This window comes from Homo sapiens, chromosome 4 (genome assembly GCF_000001405.40).
Source record: "Homo sapiens chromosome 4, GRCh38.p14 Primary Assembly".
Classification (NCBI taxonomy): Eukaryota; Metazoa; Chordata; class Mammalia; order Primates; family Hominidae; genus Homo; species Homo sapiens.
Window position 1 is genome coordinate 153,405,580 of NC_000004.12, and position 14,981 is coordinate 153,420,560.

Here is a 14,981-nt window from a genome sequence, read left to right on the forward strand (position 1 = left end):
GAATCAAGAGTCCAGAAATAAACCCAATTGATTTTCAACAAAGGTGCCAAGACCATGGAATCAGGAAAGAAATCATGTTTTTAGCTCATGGTATTGGGCACAACTGGATATCCACATGCAAATGAATTAATCTGAACCCCCACCTTACATCAAAAAAATTAACTCAAATGGATCAAAGACCTACATGGAAGAGCTGAAACTATGAAACTCTTAGAAGAAAACAGATTTATATTTCTTTTTTTTGAGACGGAGTCTCACTCTGTCACCCAGGCTGGAGTACAGTGGCATGATCTTGGCTCACTGCAGGCTCTGCCTCCCGGGTTCAGGCCATTCTCCTGCCTCAACCTCCGAGTACCTGGGACTACAGGCGCCCACCACCACGCCAGGCTAATTTTTTACATTTTTAGTAGAGAGGGAGTTTCACCGTGTTAGCCAGGATGGTCTTGATCTGACCTCGTGATCTGCCCGTCTCGGCCTCCCAAAGTGCTGGGATTACAGGCGTGAGCCACTGTGCCAGGCCGGATTTATATTTCTTTATCCTTGGGTTAAGCAACAATTCCTTGAATATGACACCAAAAGCAGAAACAACCACAGAAAAAGTAGTTAAATGGACTTCATCAAAGTTAAAAAGTTTTGTACAATATCAAGAAAGTAAAAAGAGGCTGGGCGCGGTGTCTCATGCCTGTGATCCCAGCACTTTGGGAGGCCAAGGCAGGTGGATCATGTGAAGCCAGGAGTTTGAGACCAGCCTGGCCAACATGGTGAAACCCCATCTCTACTAAAAATACAAAAATTAGCCGGGTGTGGTGGCACACACCTGTAATCCCAGCTACTCGGGAGGCTGAGGCAGGAGAATCGCTTGAACCAGGAAGGCAGAGGTTGCAGTGAGCCAAGATTGTACCACTGCACTCCAGCCTGGGTGACAGAGACTCCATCACAAAAAGAAAAAAAGAAAGTAAAAAGTGAACTCAGGATGGAAGAAAATAGTCACAAGTCCTGTATCTGACAAGTGTCTAGTATCCAAAATATATAAAGAACTCATAATACAACAATAAAAAGACAACCCAGTTGAAAAATGAGCAAAGGATATGAACGGACACTTCCCCCAAGAAGATACACAGATGGCCAATAAGCACATGAAAAGATGCACAAAATCATTAGCAAATGCAAATCAGAACCCCAGTGAGATACTACTTCACACTTCTATTAGTCTGTTTTCACACTGCTAATAAAGACATACCTGAGACTTGGCAATTTACAAAAGAAAGAGGTTTATTGGACTTACGGTGCCACGTATTTGGGGAAACCTCACAATCATGGTGGAAGGTGAAAGGTACGTCTCACATGGTGGCAGACGAGAAGAGAGCTTGTGCAGGGAAACTCCCATTTTTAAAGCCATCAGATCTTGTGAGACTCATTCACTATCATGGGAACAGGGCAGGAAAGACCCGCCCTCATAATTCAATCACCTCCCACTGGGGTCCTCCCACAACACGTGGGAATTGTGGGTGTTACAATTCAAGATGAGATTTGAGTGGGGACACAGCCAAACCATATCAACACCCATTAGGATGGCTATAATGTAAAAATAGAAAATAATGAGGCCGGGCACGGTGGCTCACGCCTGTAATCCCAGCACTTTGGGAGGCCGAGGCAGGCGGATCACCTGAGGTTGGGACTTGGAGACCAGCCTGACCAACATGGTGAAACCCTATCTCTACTAAAAATACAAAATTAGCTGGGTGTGGTGGCACATGCCTGTAATCCCAGCAACTCAGGAGGCTGAGGCAGGAGAATTGCTTGAACCTGGGAGGTGGAAGTTGCAGTGAGCCAAGACCGCGCTATTGCACTCCACCCTGGGCAATGAGCAAAACTCCATCTCAAAAAAAAATAGAAAATAATAAGTGATGAGAATGTGGAGAGACTGGAACTCTTAGATTGCTGGTGGTATTATAAAGTGGTGCTACCACTTTGGCAAACAATTTATCTCTTCGCCAAAATATATACCCAAGATAATTGAAAATATGTCCACACAAAAATTATTCGTATTAGCAGAAACAGCCCAAATGTCCATCAGCTGATGAATGGATAAGCAAATTGTAAAATAGTACTTCGCATAAAAAAGAATGAGGTATTGATACATGAATGAACCTTGAAAACATTGTGTTAAGTGAGAGAGGCCAGACCTAAAAGACCACATATCGTATGTTTCGTTCATATGAAATGTACACAAAAGGGAAATCCATAGAGAAAAGACAGCAACTAGGTTAGTAGTTGCCAGGGGACGGAGGGAGAAGGAATGTGGAGTGAGTGCTAAGGGGCACAAGGGTTTTTTCTGGGTGATGAAAAAATGTTCTGGAATTAAATAGTAGTAATGGTTGTACAATTTTGTGACTATCATAAAAACCACTGAAAGCCAGGCATGGTGCCCCATACCTGTAATCCCAGCACTTTAGGAGGCCAAGATGGGGTGGATCACTTGAGGCCAGGAGTTGGAGGCCAACCTGGGCAACATAGCAAGACCCCTATCTCTACAAGAAATGAGCTGGGCATGGTGGCGCATGCGTGTAGTCTCAGCTGCTCAGAAAACTGAGGCAGGAGGATTGCTTAAGCCCGCCAGTTTGAGGCTGCAGTGAGCTATGATCACACCATGGTACTCCAGCTTGGGAGACAGAGTGAGACCCAGTCCCTAAATAAGTAAATAAATAAATAAAAATTACTGAATTATATAGTTTACTATGCTGAATTTTGTGACATATAAATTATCTTTCAATTAAAAATGCCATCATTGTAAGTAATAGTTAATGCCCCATTAATCATGGCATTGTTACATGCTGTGCAGAGTAACTCGAAGTACATAATATACATACAGATACATTTGATAGCACGATGTGTATTTAAAGTAAAAGTAAATACTTCCCGCTATGAGATTACTTTCTTATCCCTAAAATTTTTTTTAGAGTCACACTTATTGTGGTCTTATAATGCCTATATAGTAAAATTCTTATCGTTAAATTTAACTTATTTTGTTGTATTTTGGTATGGTGAGTTGTTTGAAAAACATCTCATTTAAACTTACATGTTGTCTTTAAAGGAGCAAGTACAATGATGATGGACACTTAGGAAAGGGAAATTGTTCACTTTGACTTTCCATTAATTACTAATACTACTGCAACTCCCTAAATTTCCTTGGGAATTTGCAAGAGTTTGTAAAATACAATATTATGTCACTATTTCAGCTTTTTTCATAGCCATTTTATACATAAATTTTATAAAAATTTTGTTCATATGAAAAAATACAAATGTATACATAGCTAAAGATCATTTTGTGTGTATATATATATATATATATATAAATACATTTCATTTTATATATATAATTTTTTTTCAGGCCAAGCAAATAAAGTAGCCAAAGAAGCTGCTAACAGATGGACTGGTATGTACTATAATAATGCTGATAAACTATAGCTAAATTCCCTTCACACTTACTGCGACGTGAAATTCAGATACCTTGTGCTAGCTTTGTTCAAGAAAGGACGTTAATGAAAAATGTATGCATTACTCAAATGTTTACATATTAAATCATTTCAGTTATTTAAGGTTTTTTTTATAATCTTATGAGTCATTTTGTAAAGCATAAGATATTTTTGTAAAACTAATGATTGCTTCCAGTTTAACTTTTGTGCAACTTTTCCCAAGATAAGTCACCTGGGCTAATCACTTAACTTTCATATACATTAATGTAAGATACACTTTTAAGATAATGAAATCTTAAAGATTTATCATCTTGCTAATAATAATAATAATAATAGCTAAGGTTTGTTGAGGACTATTTGCCAGTTACTGTAATGTCTGTGGTTCATTCTCATTTTATCTCCATGATAATCTTGAGGTAGATATGATTATTATCCCTAATTTAGGAGACAAAACTAAGACCCTCAGGAGTCCAAGGCCACACATGTGTCAGACAGCAGAACAGGAATTATAATCCAACTTTTCTGGCTGGACTTAAAATGACTATGTTTAGTCAAAGGCGATTAGTCACTGCAAGAACAGATGCTGGAGCCAGGTTTCTCTGACTCCCTGTCCAGGCCTCTGTTTCACACAAAAAATATAATAATTTTTTTTCCTACTCTATTTTAGAATTAAATAGACTGGTAAAATCAATATAATTGGCCTTTCGGATTTTTTTTTTCTGAAATTGCAGTTTTATTTATTACAAAGTTATTTCTTAAGTAAGGTAATGCTTTAGTGATAAGAACAGAGGGTGAAACAGCAAACTGACATGAAGTAAGTGTCCCACAAAGTATAAATAAATGTGGATTTTTAGGTTAAAAATAAGATACGAATCCAAGGTGATTTCCCCCAGTATTTTCAACAAAGAGGCTCAGCACACAGTAGGCACAGGCAGCATGTGTGTGTAGTGGGAGGAACGTGGCTTTGAAGAGAATCCAAGCTATTCTCCTTACTTGCTGTGTGACCTCTTGACCCTCTCTCAGCCTACTTCCTCATCTGTTCAATGTGGATAAATAATACCTACCTCCCATTTTGGGAGGATTAAATAAGACAGTTTGTAAGCCCTTCAGCACCATGTTGGACACGTAGATAAATACTCCCCTTTTCCTTTTCTTCTCTTAAAAAAGTTCATGTTTTCCAATTGATCATAAACTTCCAAAATTATAATTGGAAAAACATTTGGAATGGCTTTTTTTTTTTCCTATCCTATTAGCTGCAGAAGAACCTGGGACTTTTAAAACCATGAGGAAGAAAGATATTTTTAGAACAGCAGAAACAGCTGTTAAGAACCATATTTCCATTTAAAGTTACAACTTACTCCTTCCAGCTTAAACATGTGTTATGCAAAGACAGAGATAAGAGAGAAAGCATCACACCTCAGAAAACCGCCACCTTCACAACAAACAAAAAGAAAACAGTAATAAGAATTATTTTTTTCCTAGTCTATTTTAGAATTAGGTAGATTGGTAAAATCAATATAATTGGCCTTTAGTTTGTTTTTTAATGAAATTGCAGTCTTACTTATCATATAGCTTTTAAAGTTTGTTTTAATATTCATATTAAAATTATCATATAGAAAGAAAGTTTGCTTTATTTTTACTTAAAAAAGTCCTGGCCGGGCGTGGTGGCTCATGCCCGTAATCCCAGCACTTTGGGAGGCCGAGGCAGGAGGATCACTTGAGGTCAGGAGTTCAAGACCAGCCTGGCCAACATGATGAAACACTGTCTCTACTAAAAATACAAAAATTAGCCAGGCATGGTGGCGCACACCTGTAATACCAGCTACTCAGGAGGCTGAGGTAGGAGAATTGCTTGAACCCAGGAGGCGGAGGTTGCAGTGAGCTGAGATGGTGCCACTGCACTCCAGCCTGAGCAAGAGTGAGACACTGTCTCAAGAAAATAAAAAAGTCCTTAAAAATGTAGCTAGAATTGAGAATATATACTGTTCAACAATTCAGTATCTCAGTTCTATAGGATGAGATTACCTCAGAGTCTAAGTATAGAAATGCCACATCTAAATGTTTTATGATATTAAATACACTTTAAGTGTGACTTCAATTATATCATATGAAACCTTGCTTAATAATTAAGATGGTGAGGTTTTTGTAAACACATATGAGAGGAATCTTAATGAGTGAAGAGGGACAGGTGTTATGAGGGCCCAACCTAGATTCATTGCAAATGATATTGCCCATCCTATTCCTATAGGTATCTTTGCTGTGTCACCGTATAAATCAAACAGAAATTCTGCCCGTCTTAAGGTTGTTTCTTTAAAAGAAAAAAATTATTCTATATCCATTCATAAAAATTTCTACATTAAATAGGGAAATTATTTGACAGAGAATGAACTATCAAGATTCTCAGTGGCATTTTATCTTGAAGGCCGACATCCAGTGGCTCAAAGAAATGTTTAATCAGAGTCTTCTTTGAATTGGTCCATTAGGCATTGTTGTGGAGAGGTTTTTATTTGTTCTTTTTCTTGCTTTTAACCTTTAAATGTTTATAATGAAATGGTTTCTTATCCTCCTATGAATCAGGAAATCCTTCCTGTAGAGGCTGTTCAATAGTCTTACCCTGGTGCCTCATTCTCATTTCTGATCCAGGTTTGAAGTTTGTTCCCTACAAGCTTCCTACATTGTTGTATCTGTTCTCTCATTTCCTAGAAATCTTTCTGTATTCATGAAGCCTATCCTGTAAGCTATACACATAAGACTTGGCCTTTTCTCTCTGAGACACCTATCACTTTGTAATTGTTTAGTAATAAATTATTTTTTTTCACTCTTATGTCAACTTGAAGGCATAGGTTTTTCACATTCTGTAATACCTGCAGTGCACCTGATACTTGTCTTATGTAGCAGCAGACATAACATTTGGATGTGATTAGCAAGAATGTACTGGTTGGGCAGAGACTGGTAAAAATTATCCTAGAATATCTTATGGTGTTATTTTAACATTCTCTCTTAGGTTGTTAGGAAAAGTAAAGATTCATTTTAGATTGTTACAAAGAGTAAAGATCATTTTAATATCTGTTGACATTCCATAACACTTTGATTGAAAGAAGTTAATTTTGTTAACATTATTCTATTTGATGCAGTAGTATTCTCCATAAAATTCATTCCAGAAATGTGTTTATCAATATTTGATACTTGGAAATAAACTTCCATAGAAAAAATATTTTAAAAAGTGATGAAACTCCATGTATTAGTTTGCTAGAGATGCCGCAACAAAACATCACAGATAGGGTGGCTTAAACAACAGAAATTTTTCTCACCATCCTGGAGGATCAAATTTCAAGATCAAGATGTTGGCAGGTTTGGTTTCTCCAGGTCTTCCTTCTCCCTGTGTCCTCTCACAGTTTTTCCTGTGTCTCTCCATGTGTCCAAATTTCCTTTTTTTTTTTTTTTTGAAATGGAGTCTTGATGTGTCGCCCAGGCTGGAGTGCAGTGGTGCAATCTCAGCTCATCGCAACCTCCACCTCCCTGGTTCAAGCAATTTCCCTGCCTCAGCCTTCCGAGTAGCTGGGATTATAGGCGCACACCACCATGCCCGGCTAATTTTTTTTGTATTTTTAGTAGAGACGGGGTTTCACCATGTTGGCCAGACTGGTCTCTCGAACTCCTGACCTCAGGCAATCTGCCTGCCTCGGCCCCACAAAGTGCTGGCATTACAGGCGTGAGCCACCGCAACCAGCCAATCCTTTTCTTCTTTTTTTTCTTTTTTTTTTTTTTGAGACGGAGTCTTGCTTTGTCGCCAGGCTGGAGTGTAGTGGTGCAATCTTTGCTCACTTCACCCTCTGCCTCCCGGGTTCAAGCGATTCCCCTGCCTCAGCCTCTGGAATAGCTGGGACTACAGGCGCACACCACCATGTCCAGCTAATCTTTTTGTATTGTTAGTAGAGACAGGATTTTACTATGTCGGCCAGGATGGTCTCGATCTCTTGACCTCATGATCCTTTTCTTATAAAGATACCAATCCTACTGGATTAGGGCCCACCCCAATGACCTCATTTTAACTTGATCACCTCTTTAAAGATCTGTTTCAATATAGTCACATTCTGAGGTAGTAGGGGCTAGGACTTCAACATACAAATTTGGGGGGAAATGATTCAGCCCATAACATTCCAGAAGAACCTATTCTAACCCTTTACTTCATTATCACTACTAACAGAGTGTTTAACATTTTACAGAATACTCCGACAAGCTATAAAATCTTATACCATTATTTTTTCTGTGAGTGTAATACATTTTCATCATAAAGGTTGTGTATGTACATTAAAGAAATGTATGAAATTAAGAAAAGAAAGGCTGGACACGGTGGCTCACACTTGTAATCCCAGCATTTTGGGAGGCCGAGGTGGGTGGATTTCTTGGGCTTGGAGTTCAAGACCAGCCTGGGCAACATGGTGAAACCTCATCCCTACAAAAAATACAAAAGTTGCCGGGTATGGTGGTGCACGCCTGTTGTCTCTGCCACTCGTGGGGCTGAGGTTGGAGGGTTGCCTGAGCCTAGAAGGTGGAGACTGCAGTGAGCTGAGATTATACCACTCACTGCCCTCCAGCCTGGGAGACAAAGCAAGATCCTGTCTCAAGGGGAAAAAAAAAAAAAGGAAAAAAAATCCACTGTTCCTCCCACCCTCCCCAGTGCAGCCACTGTGAGCACACTGTCACGGTCCTGCCTCCCTCACTAGCTTCCTGATGAGTAGACATTTAGATTGCTTTTATTTTTTCTATTATGGCACTGGGATAAAGACCCTTGACCAAAAGTCCTTGTACACAGTTTGTTTTATTTCCTTGGGATAAATCCCTTGAAGTAGACATACCACTTTTTTTCAGTTGTTAATGCATTTTAAATCCCCCCAGGAGATGCTGAGGACATTTCTGTTCTTAGTCTTAAGAGAACCCCTTTCCCTGCTCCCCACCCCCTCTCCCTAGTACTGGCCTGATTGTCTGGAAGCCATTACTGTCTGTAGGACAGGAAGAAGAGTCTGGAGAGAATGTGTTCCCTTTGGGAATAGGAGCAACTTTAATTCCTGAGGCAACAGTCCTGGCCTCTGCTGTGGAAATGTAGAAGAGACACCATTAACCTGTCCCTGTTTTTCTATTATTCTTAAGTCTGGTATTTAGCAGCAAGCAGCTTACAGAATTTTTAAATATGAGATCTATTAACTTGTTCAAAATAGTATTTAAATACTTTTTTTTTTTTTGATACGGAGTGTCACTCCTGTTGCCCAGGCTGGAGTGCAATGGTGTGATCTCGGCTCACCACAACCTCCGCCTCCCAGGTTCAAACGATTCTCCTGCCTCAGCCTCCCGAGTAGCTGGGATTACAGGTGCCCGCCACCAACCATGCCTGGCTAATTTTTGTATTTTTAGTAGAGATGGGTTTCACCATATTGGCCAGGCTGGTCTCAAACTCCTGACCTCATGATCACCCTGCCTCGGCCTCCCAAAGTGCTGGAATTACAGGCATGAGCCACCGCACCTGGCCTTAAGTACTTTTTAATTAGTTGCCATTACTCTTAAAAATACAGAAAACTCCTTATTTTGATATATCTGAAAGTTAATAGAAGGAAGTAAAAGAACAATGAAGATAATTATACTTGAAATGTTTTATGATTGTGTTTTTCTCAAAATTATTTCTCAATTTTCTTTATAGATAACATATTCGCAATAAAATCTTGGGCCAAAAGAAAATTTGGGTTTGAAGAAAATAAAATTGATAGAACTTTTGGAATTCCAGAAGACTTTGACTACATAGACTAAAATATTCCATGGTGGTGAAGGATGTACAAGCTTGTGAATATGTAAATTTTAAACTATTATCTAACTAAGTGTACTGAATTGTCGTTTGCCTGTAACTGTGTTTATCATTTTATTAATGTTAAATAAAGTGTAAAATGCAGATGTTCTTCACCCCTTTTGGTAGAACAAAAGCAGGATGATAACCATATCCCCCCAGTGCTCATCAAAGTAGGACAATAAAAATCCATCCATCTCAGTCCAGGCAGATTTACAAATGATTTTTTTTTTAAGATCAAAACCATGACGTGATAATGCTTTAGTTTTGTTTAAATATTAATATTAACTATTAAGGGTATATTTGGGCTGGGCATGGTGGCTCGCACCTGTAATCCCAGCGCTTTGGGAAGCCGAGGCAGGCAGCTTCACTTGAGCTCAGGAGCAGTCACTTGAGCTCAGGAGTTCAAGACCAGCCTGGCCAACATGGCAAAACCCCGTCTCTCTTAAAAATACAAAAAGTAATTTCAACTACTTGAGAGACTGAGGCAGGAGAATTGCTTGAACCCAGGAGGTGGAGGTTGCAGTGAGCTGAGATTGTGCCACTGTACTTTAGCCTGGGCAACAGAGCAAGACTCTGTCTCAAAAAAAAAAAAGTGTATTTGAAGGATCCATCATACATATACACACACCTAAATGCTTGGAAATAACCTTTGAAATCCTAATGGCTGCTCTCCTATTTCCCAACAGTGACTGAACTCAGTATTCTGCATTATCTTTGCAAATTTCCCACAAAAAAAAATACAGAAAGTTGGTATTCCTCAAATTTAGTTAAGTAGTAATTCCTCAGACATGAAAACTACTTTTTTCTTTTGAGTTTTTGATAACTTTCTATTGGAAAGAACAAGTGCATGGCCATTTGTCCTGATTTATGTACTTTTTATAAGATGATATACAGTCATGTGTTACTTATCAATGGGGATATGTTTTAAGGAATGCATCATTAAGCCATTTCGTCATTGTGCTAACATTACAAAGTGTACTTACATAAAGCTAGATGGTATAGCCTACTACACACCTAGACTAGATGGTATAGCCTACTGCTCCTAGGCTGCAAGCCTATACAGCATATTATGGTACTGGAGACTGTAGGCAATTGTAACACAATGGTAAGTATTTGCATATCTAAACATAGAAAAAATATAGTAAAAACACAGTATAGGACCGCCCTGTAATCCCAGCACTTTGGGAGGCCAAGGCAGGTGCATGACGTGAGGTCAGGACTTCGAGACCAGCCAGGCCAACATAGCAAAACCCTGTCTCTACTAAAAATAAAAAAAGTTAGCAAGGTGTGGTGGTGCGCACCTGTAGTCCCAGCTACTCAGGTAAGCTGAGGCACGAGAATTGCTTGAACCCAGGAGGCAGAGGTTGCAGTGAGCTGAGATTGCACCACTGCACTCCATCCTGGGCAATAGAGCGAGACTCTGTCTCAAAAAAAAAAAAAAAATACAGTATAAAAGATAAAAGTAGCACACCTGTCAAGGGCACTTACCATAAATGGAGCTTGCAGGACAAGAAGTTGCTCTGAGTGGCCAGGTGTCGTGGCTCATGCCTGTAATCCCAGCACTTTGGGAGGCCGAGAAGGGCGGATCACAAGGTCAAGAGATCAAGACCATCCTGGCCAACATGGTGAAACCCTGTCTGCTAAAAAAGAAAATACAAAAATTAGCCAGCCGTGTTGGTAAGCGCCGACAGTCCCAGCCACTAAGGAGGATGAGACAGGAGAATTGCTTGAACCCGGGAGGCAGAGGTTGCAGTGAGCCTAGATTGCGCAACTGCACTCCAGCCTGGGCGACAGAGTGAGACTCCATCTCAAAAAAAAAAAAAAAAAACAGTTTCTCTGAGTGAGTGAGTGGTGGGTGAATGTGAAGGCCTAGGACATGACTACATACTACTCTAGACTTTGTAAACACTGTACACTTGGGCTACACTAAATTTATAAAACTTTTTTCCTGTAATAACCTTAGCTTACTACAATTTTTTACTTTATAAATTTAAATTTTTTAAATGTTTTGACTCTTGTAAAACATTTAATTTAAAACGTACAGCTGTACAAAAATATTTTTATTAAAAAAATTAAATATTAAAAATAATAAATTTTAAAATTTTTGAGGCCAGGTGTGGTGGCTCACGCCTGTAATCTCAGCACTTTGGGAGGCCAAGGCAGGTGGATCACCTGAGGTCAGGGATTCGAAACCAGCCTGGCCAACCTGGTGAAACTCCATCTCTACTAAAAAAAAAGAAAAAATTAGTCAGGCATGGTGGTGGGGGCCTATAATTCCAGCTACTTGGGAAGGCTGAGGCAGGAGAATCGCTTGAACCTGGGATGCAGAGGTTGCGTGGGCCGAGATCACACCACTGCACTCCAGTCAGCAACAAGAGCGAAACTCCGTCTCAAAAAAAAAAAAAAATTATCTGTGTGTGGTGGCTTACACTTGTAATCCCAACACTTTGGGAGGCCGAGGCAGGCGGATCTCTTGAGCCCAGGAATTCGAGACCAGCCTGGGAAACATGATGAAACCCTGCCTATACAAAAAAATATAAAAATTAGCTGGATGTGGTGGTACGTACCTGTAGTCCCAGCTACTCGGGAGGCTGAGGTGGGAGGATCGCTTGATCCTGGAAGTCAGAAGTTGCATTGAGTGAGATCATGCCACTGACTCCAGCATGAATGACAGAGTGAAACCCTGACTAAAAAAAAAAAAAAAAATTAAAAACTTTTTGTTAAAAACCAAGGCAAACACACACATTAGCGTAGGCCTACACAGGTTCAGGATCACCAATATCACTGTTTCCACCTCCACAATCTGTCCCACAGGAAGGTCTTCAGGAGCAACAACATGCATGGAGCTGCCATCTCCTATGAAGAGAATTTCTTCTGGAAAACCTCCCGAAGGACCTGCCTGGGGCTGTTTTACAGTGAGCTTTTTGTTTTGTTTTGTTTTGTTTTTGTTTTCCTTGAGACGGAGTTTCGCTCTGTCGCCCAGGCTGGAGTGCAATGGCACGATCTCAGCTCACTGCAACCTCCGACCCCTGGGTTCAAACGATTCTTCTGTCTCAGCCTCCTGAGTAGCTGGGATTACAGGCATGCACCACCATGCTCAGCTAATTTTGTATTTTTAGTAGAGATGGGGTTTCTCCATGTTGGTCAGGCTGGTCTCGAACTCCTGACCTCAGATGATCCGCCCACCTTGGCCTCCCAAAGTGCGAGGATTACAGGCATGAGCCCTGCACTCGGCCGAACTTCTTTTAATAAGTAAAAGGAGTACACTCTAAAAACATGGAAAATACATAAACCAGTAACATCGTCATTATCATTGTCAAGTATTACGTACTATACATACTTGTATTGCCACACTTTTATTCAGCTGGCAGTGCAGTAGGTTTGTTTACACCATCATCACCACAAACACGAGTCATGTGTTGCACTAAGACATTGCCGCAGCTACGATGTCACTAAGTGGTAGGAATTTTTCAGTTCCATTATAATCTCATAGGACCACCATGATGTATGTAGTCTGTTCTTGACACTGTTGTTAAACAGTGGATGACTGTAGTTGTCTTTGTATAGCACACATCACCAGCTATATAGAATTTTAGGGTTTTTTTCAGCTATCTAAAAAAGAGTAGGTTAAAAATGACATATCCCACGTATATATCTTTTTATAGTTCAGCTTGGCTATTTAGATAATTTGCAGGCACTCCACATCTAAAGAAATAAAATCAAAACGTATGTAATGCCCTTTACACACAGGCTTATTTTTTTTACATTGTCCAATTTTGATATTCTTTTAAGTAACTCGAGTGAAATACTCCATATGTCTGAAATGACCCAAATGGCATCCAAACCATTTGTTAGTGAATCTGGCCTTTGTATTGCATGGAGTTGCTCTGGGCCTACTTAATCACTTCCTGGAGGTTGGTGGGGAGCAAATTGGCCTATCTTTGTTCATGAGGCCAGTTTATGTTGCCTTAGGCAACAGCTCTTCTGACAAGAGAAAGTATTTGATGTAAGAGACAGAGGACAAAAAATAAAAATAACCAATTTTTCTAAAACTAATCGTGGGAATTCCAAAACTTCTCAGGCCCAATTGCCATTATTATAAAAGATACTTGTTTAGAAAGGAAGTATGTGTGTTCAAAAAAGAAACCATTTCTAATGATCTCTAAAAGATGCTGTTTAATATTTAGTTAACTTTTAAGAATTTAGTTCTCTATAGGGCTAGCACGAGAGTGAGTGAGATGGGGGTCTATACATGAGCTAACCAGAGGCTGTAGCATCTTTAGCCAGCAGTGTGCTGCTAAGTTTAATAGCTGGCTGTCTGGAAGAGGGAAGCTGACTTATAGTGTTTGCCTACTTGCGTGGTGTAAGTACTGCCAGCATAGCCGATTTGAGGTTACCAGTGCAATGCCAGTAGAGAAGGGGAAGAGATGCTCGGCAGCACACCATTATGTAGTACCTCCACCATAAAGATGAGGTAGATAATAAAACTCAACAGCACAGGGAACGGTAAAATGTAGTGAAGTACTTAGGGAGTTATCACTCTTCAGTATTTGGCGTCTTTGTTTTTAATATACAGTTCATCATCCTTTACATAACTTCATCTTTAATGCTGGCTGCGTTTAACCACTGGCTCTCTGTTTAACAGCTGACTTACCTGCTCCTGTCCATCACTGTTGTTAATCTTTAAGAGCGGTATTTGAGTTTATTCTCACCTGAAGTTCGAGATACTAGTTAAGAAGGCAGGAAGCCAGGCATGGTAGCCTGTGCCAGTAGTCCCAGTGTATTAGTCCGTTCTCACGCTGCTAATAAAGACATACCCCAGTCTGGGAAATTTATAAAGGAAAGAGGTTTAATTGACTCACAGTTCAGCATGGCAGGGGAGGTTCTCAGGAAACTTACAATCACAGCGGAGGGGGAAGCAAACATGTCCTTCACGTGACAGCAGCAAGGAGAAGTGCCAAGCAAAAGAGGGGAAAGCCCCTTGTAAAACCATCAGATCTTGTGAGAACTCACCCACTATCCCGAGAACAGCAGCATGGGGGTAACTGACCCATGATTCAATGACCTTTCACCGGGTCCCTCTCATGATAAGTGGGGAGTATAGGAACTACAATTCAAGATGAGGTTTGGGTGGGGACACAGCCAAACCATATCACCCAGCTACGGAGGAGGTAGAGGTGGGAGGATTGCTTGAGCCCAGAAGTTCGAGGCCAGCCTGGGCAGCATAGTGAGACCCTGTCTTTTAAATAAATTTAAAAAAGAAAGAAAACAGCAGCCCAGGGGCGTGAGTCTAGCTAAGCTCAAGGTAATCCTTAGTCTTGGGTTGGTTTTGTTACTGATTTGAAGATTTAGGACAACTTGGGTAGACCTAGAATCATATTACAAGTTATCCAGGACCAAATTTGATTCAGTAAATCATGCTATAAATGATAATCCCAGTGTCTTTTCAATGAATTGTGAAGTTTAAAAGGCATCCTATCAACCTCTTTTATGTGTTTTTTTTTTTTAAATCTCAAATAATATCTGTCCTATTCTTAAGGGATTCTAAAAAAGTTTTTACAGTCTCCTGGTAAGTTTCACAATTGTCCAAGGCCAGATCAAATCTGTGAAATGTCTGTTCTGAGGTTAGACCAGGACCAAAGCACTCTGTAAGGACGAATTGGGTA

The 14,981-nt window shown here is 40.1% G+C and overlaps 1 protein-coding gene across 4 annotated transcripts in view; it reads left to right on the top strand.

The window, feature by feature from the left end:
* Positions 1-9,539, top strand: part of MND1 (meiotic nuclear divisions 1) — a 70,470-nt gene extending 60,931 nt beyond the window's left edge. For 2 of the 4 annotated variants that reach the window (NR_045605.2, NM_032117.4), the window contains 2 exons: positions 3,392-3,436; positions 9,172-9,539. Coding sequence is in view for 3 of the 4 variants with exons in the window: in NM_032117.4 (NP_115493.1) it covers positions 3,392-3,436; positions 9,172-9,278 (152 nt within the window). In the remaining variant the exon portion in view is untranslated. The remainder of the gene's footprint in view (positions 1-3,391; positions 3,437-9,171) is intronic. The other 2 variants (NM_001253861.1, XM_005263275.3) reach the window with 2 other exon arrangements.
* The last annotated feature ends 5,442 nt before the right edge of the window (positions 9,540-14,981 follow it).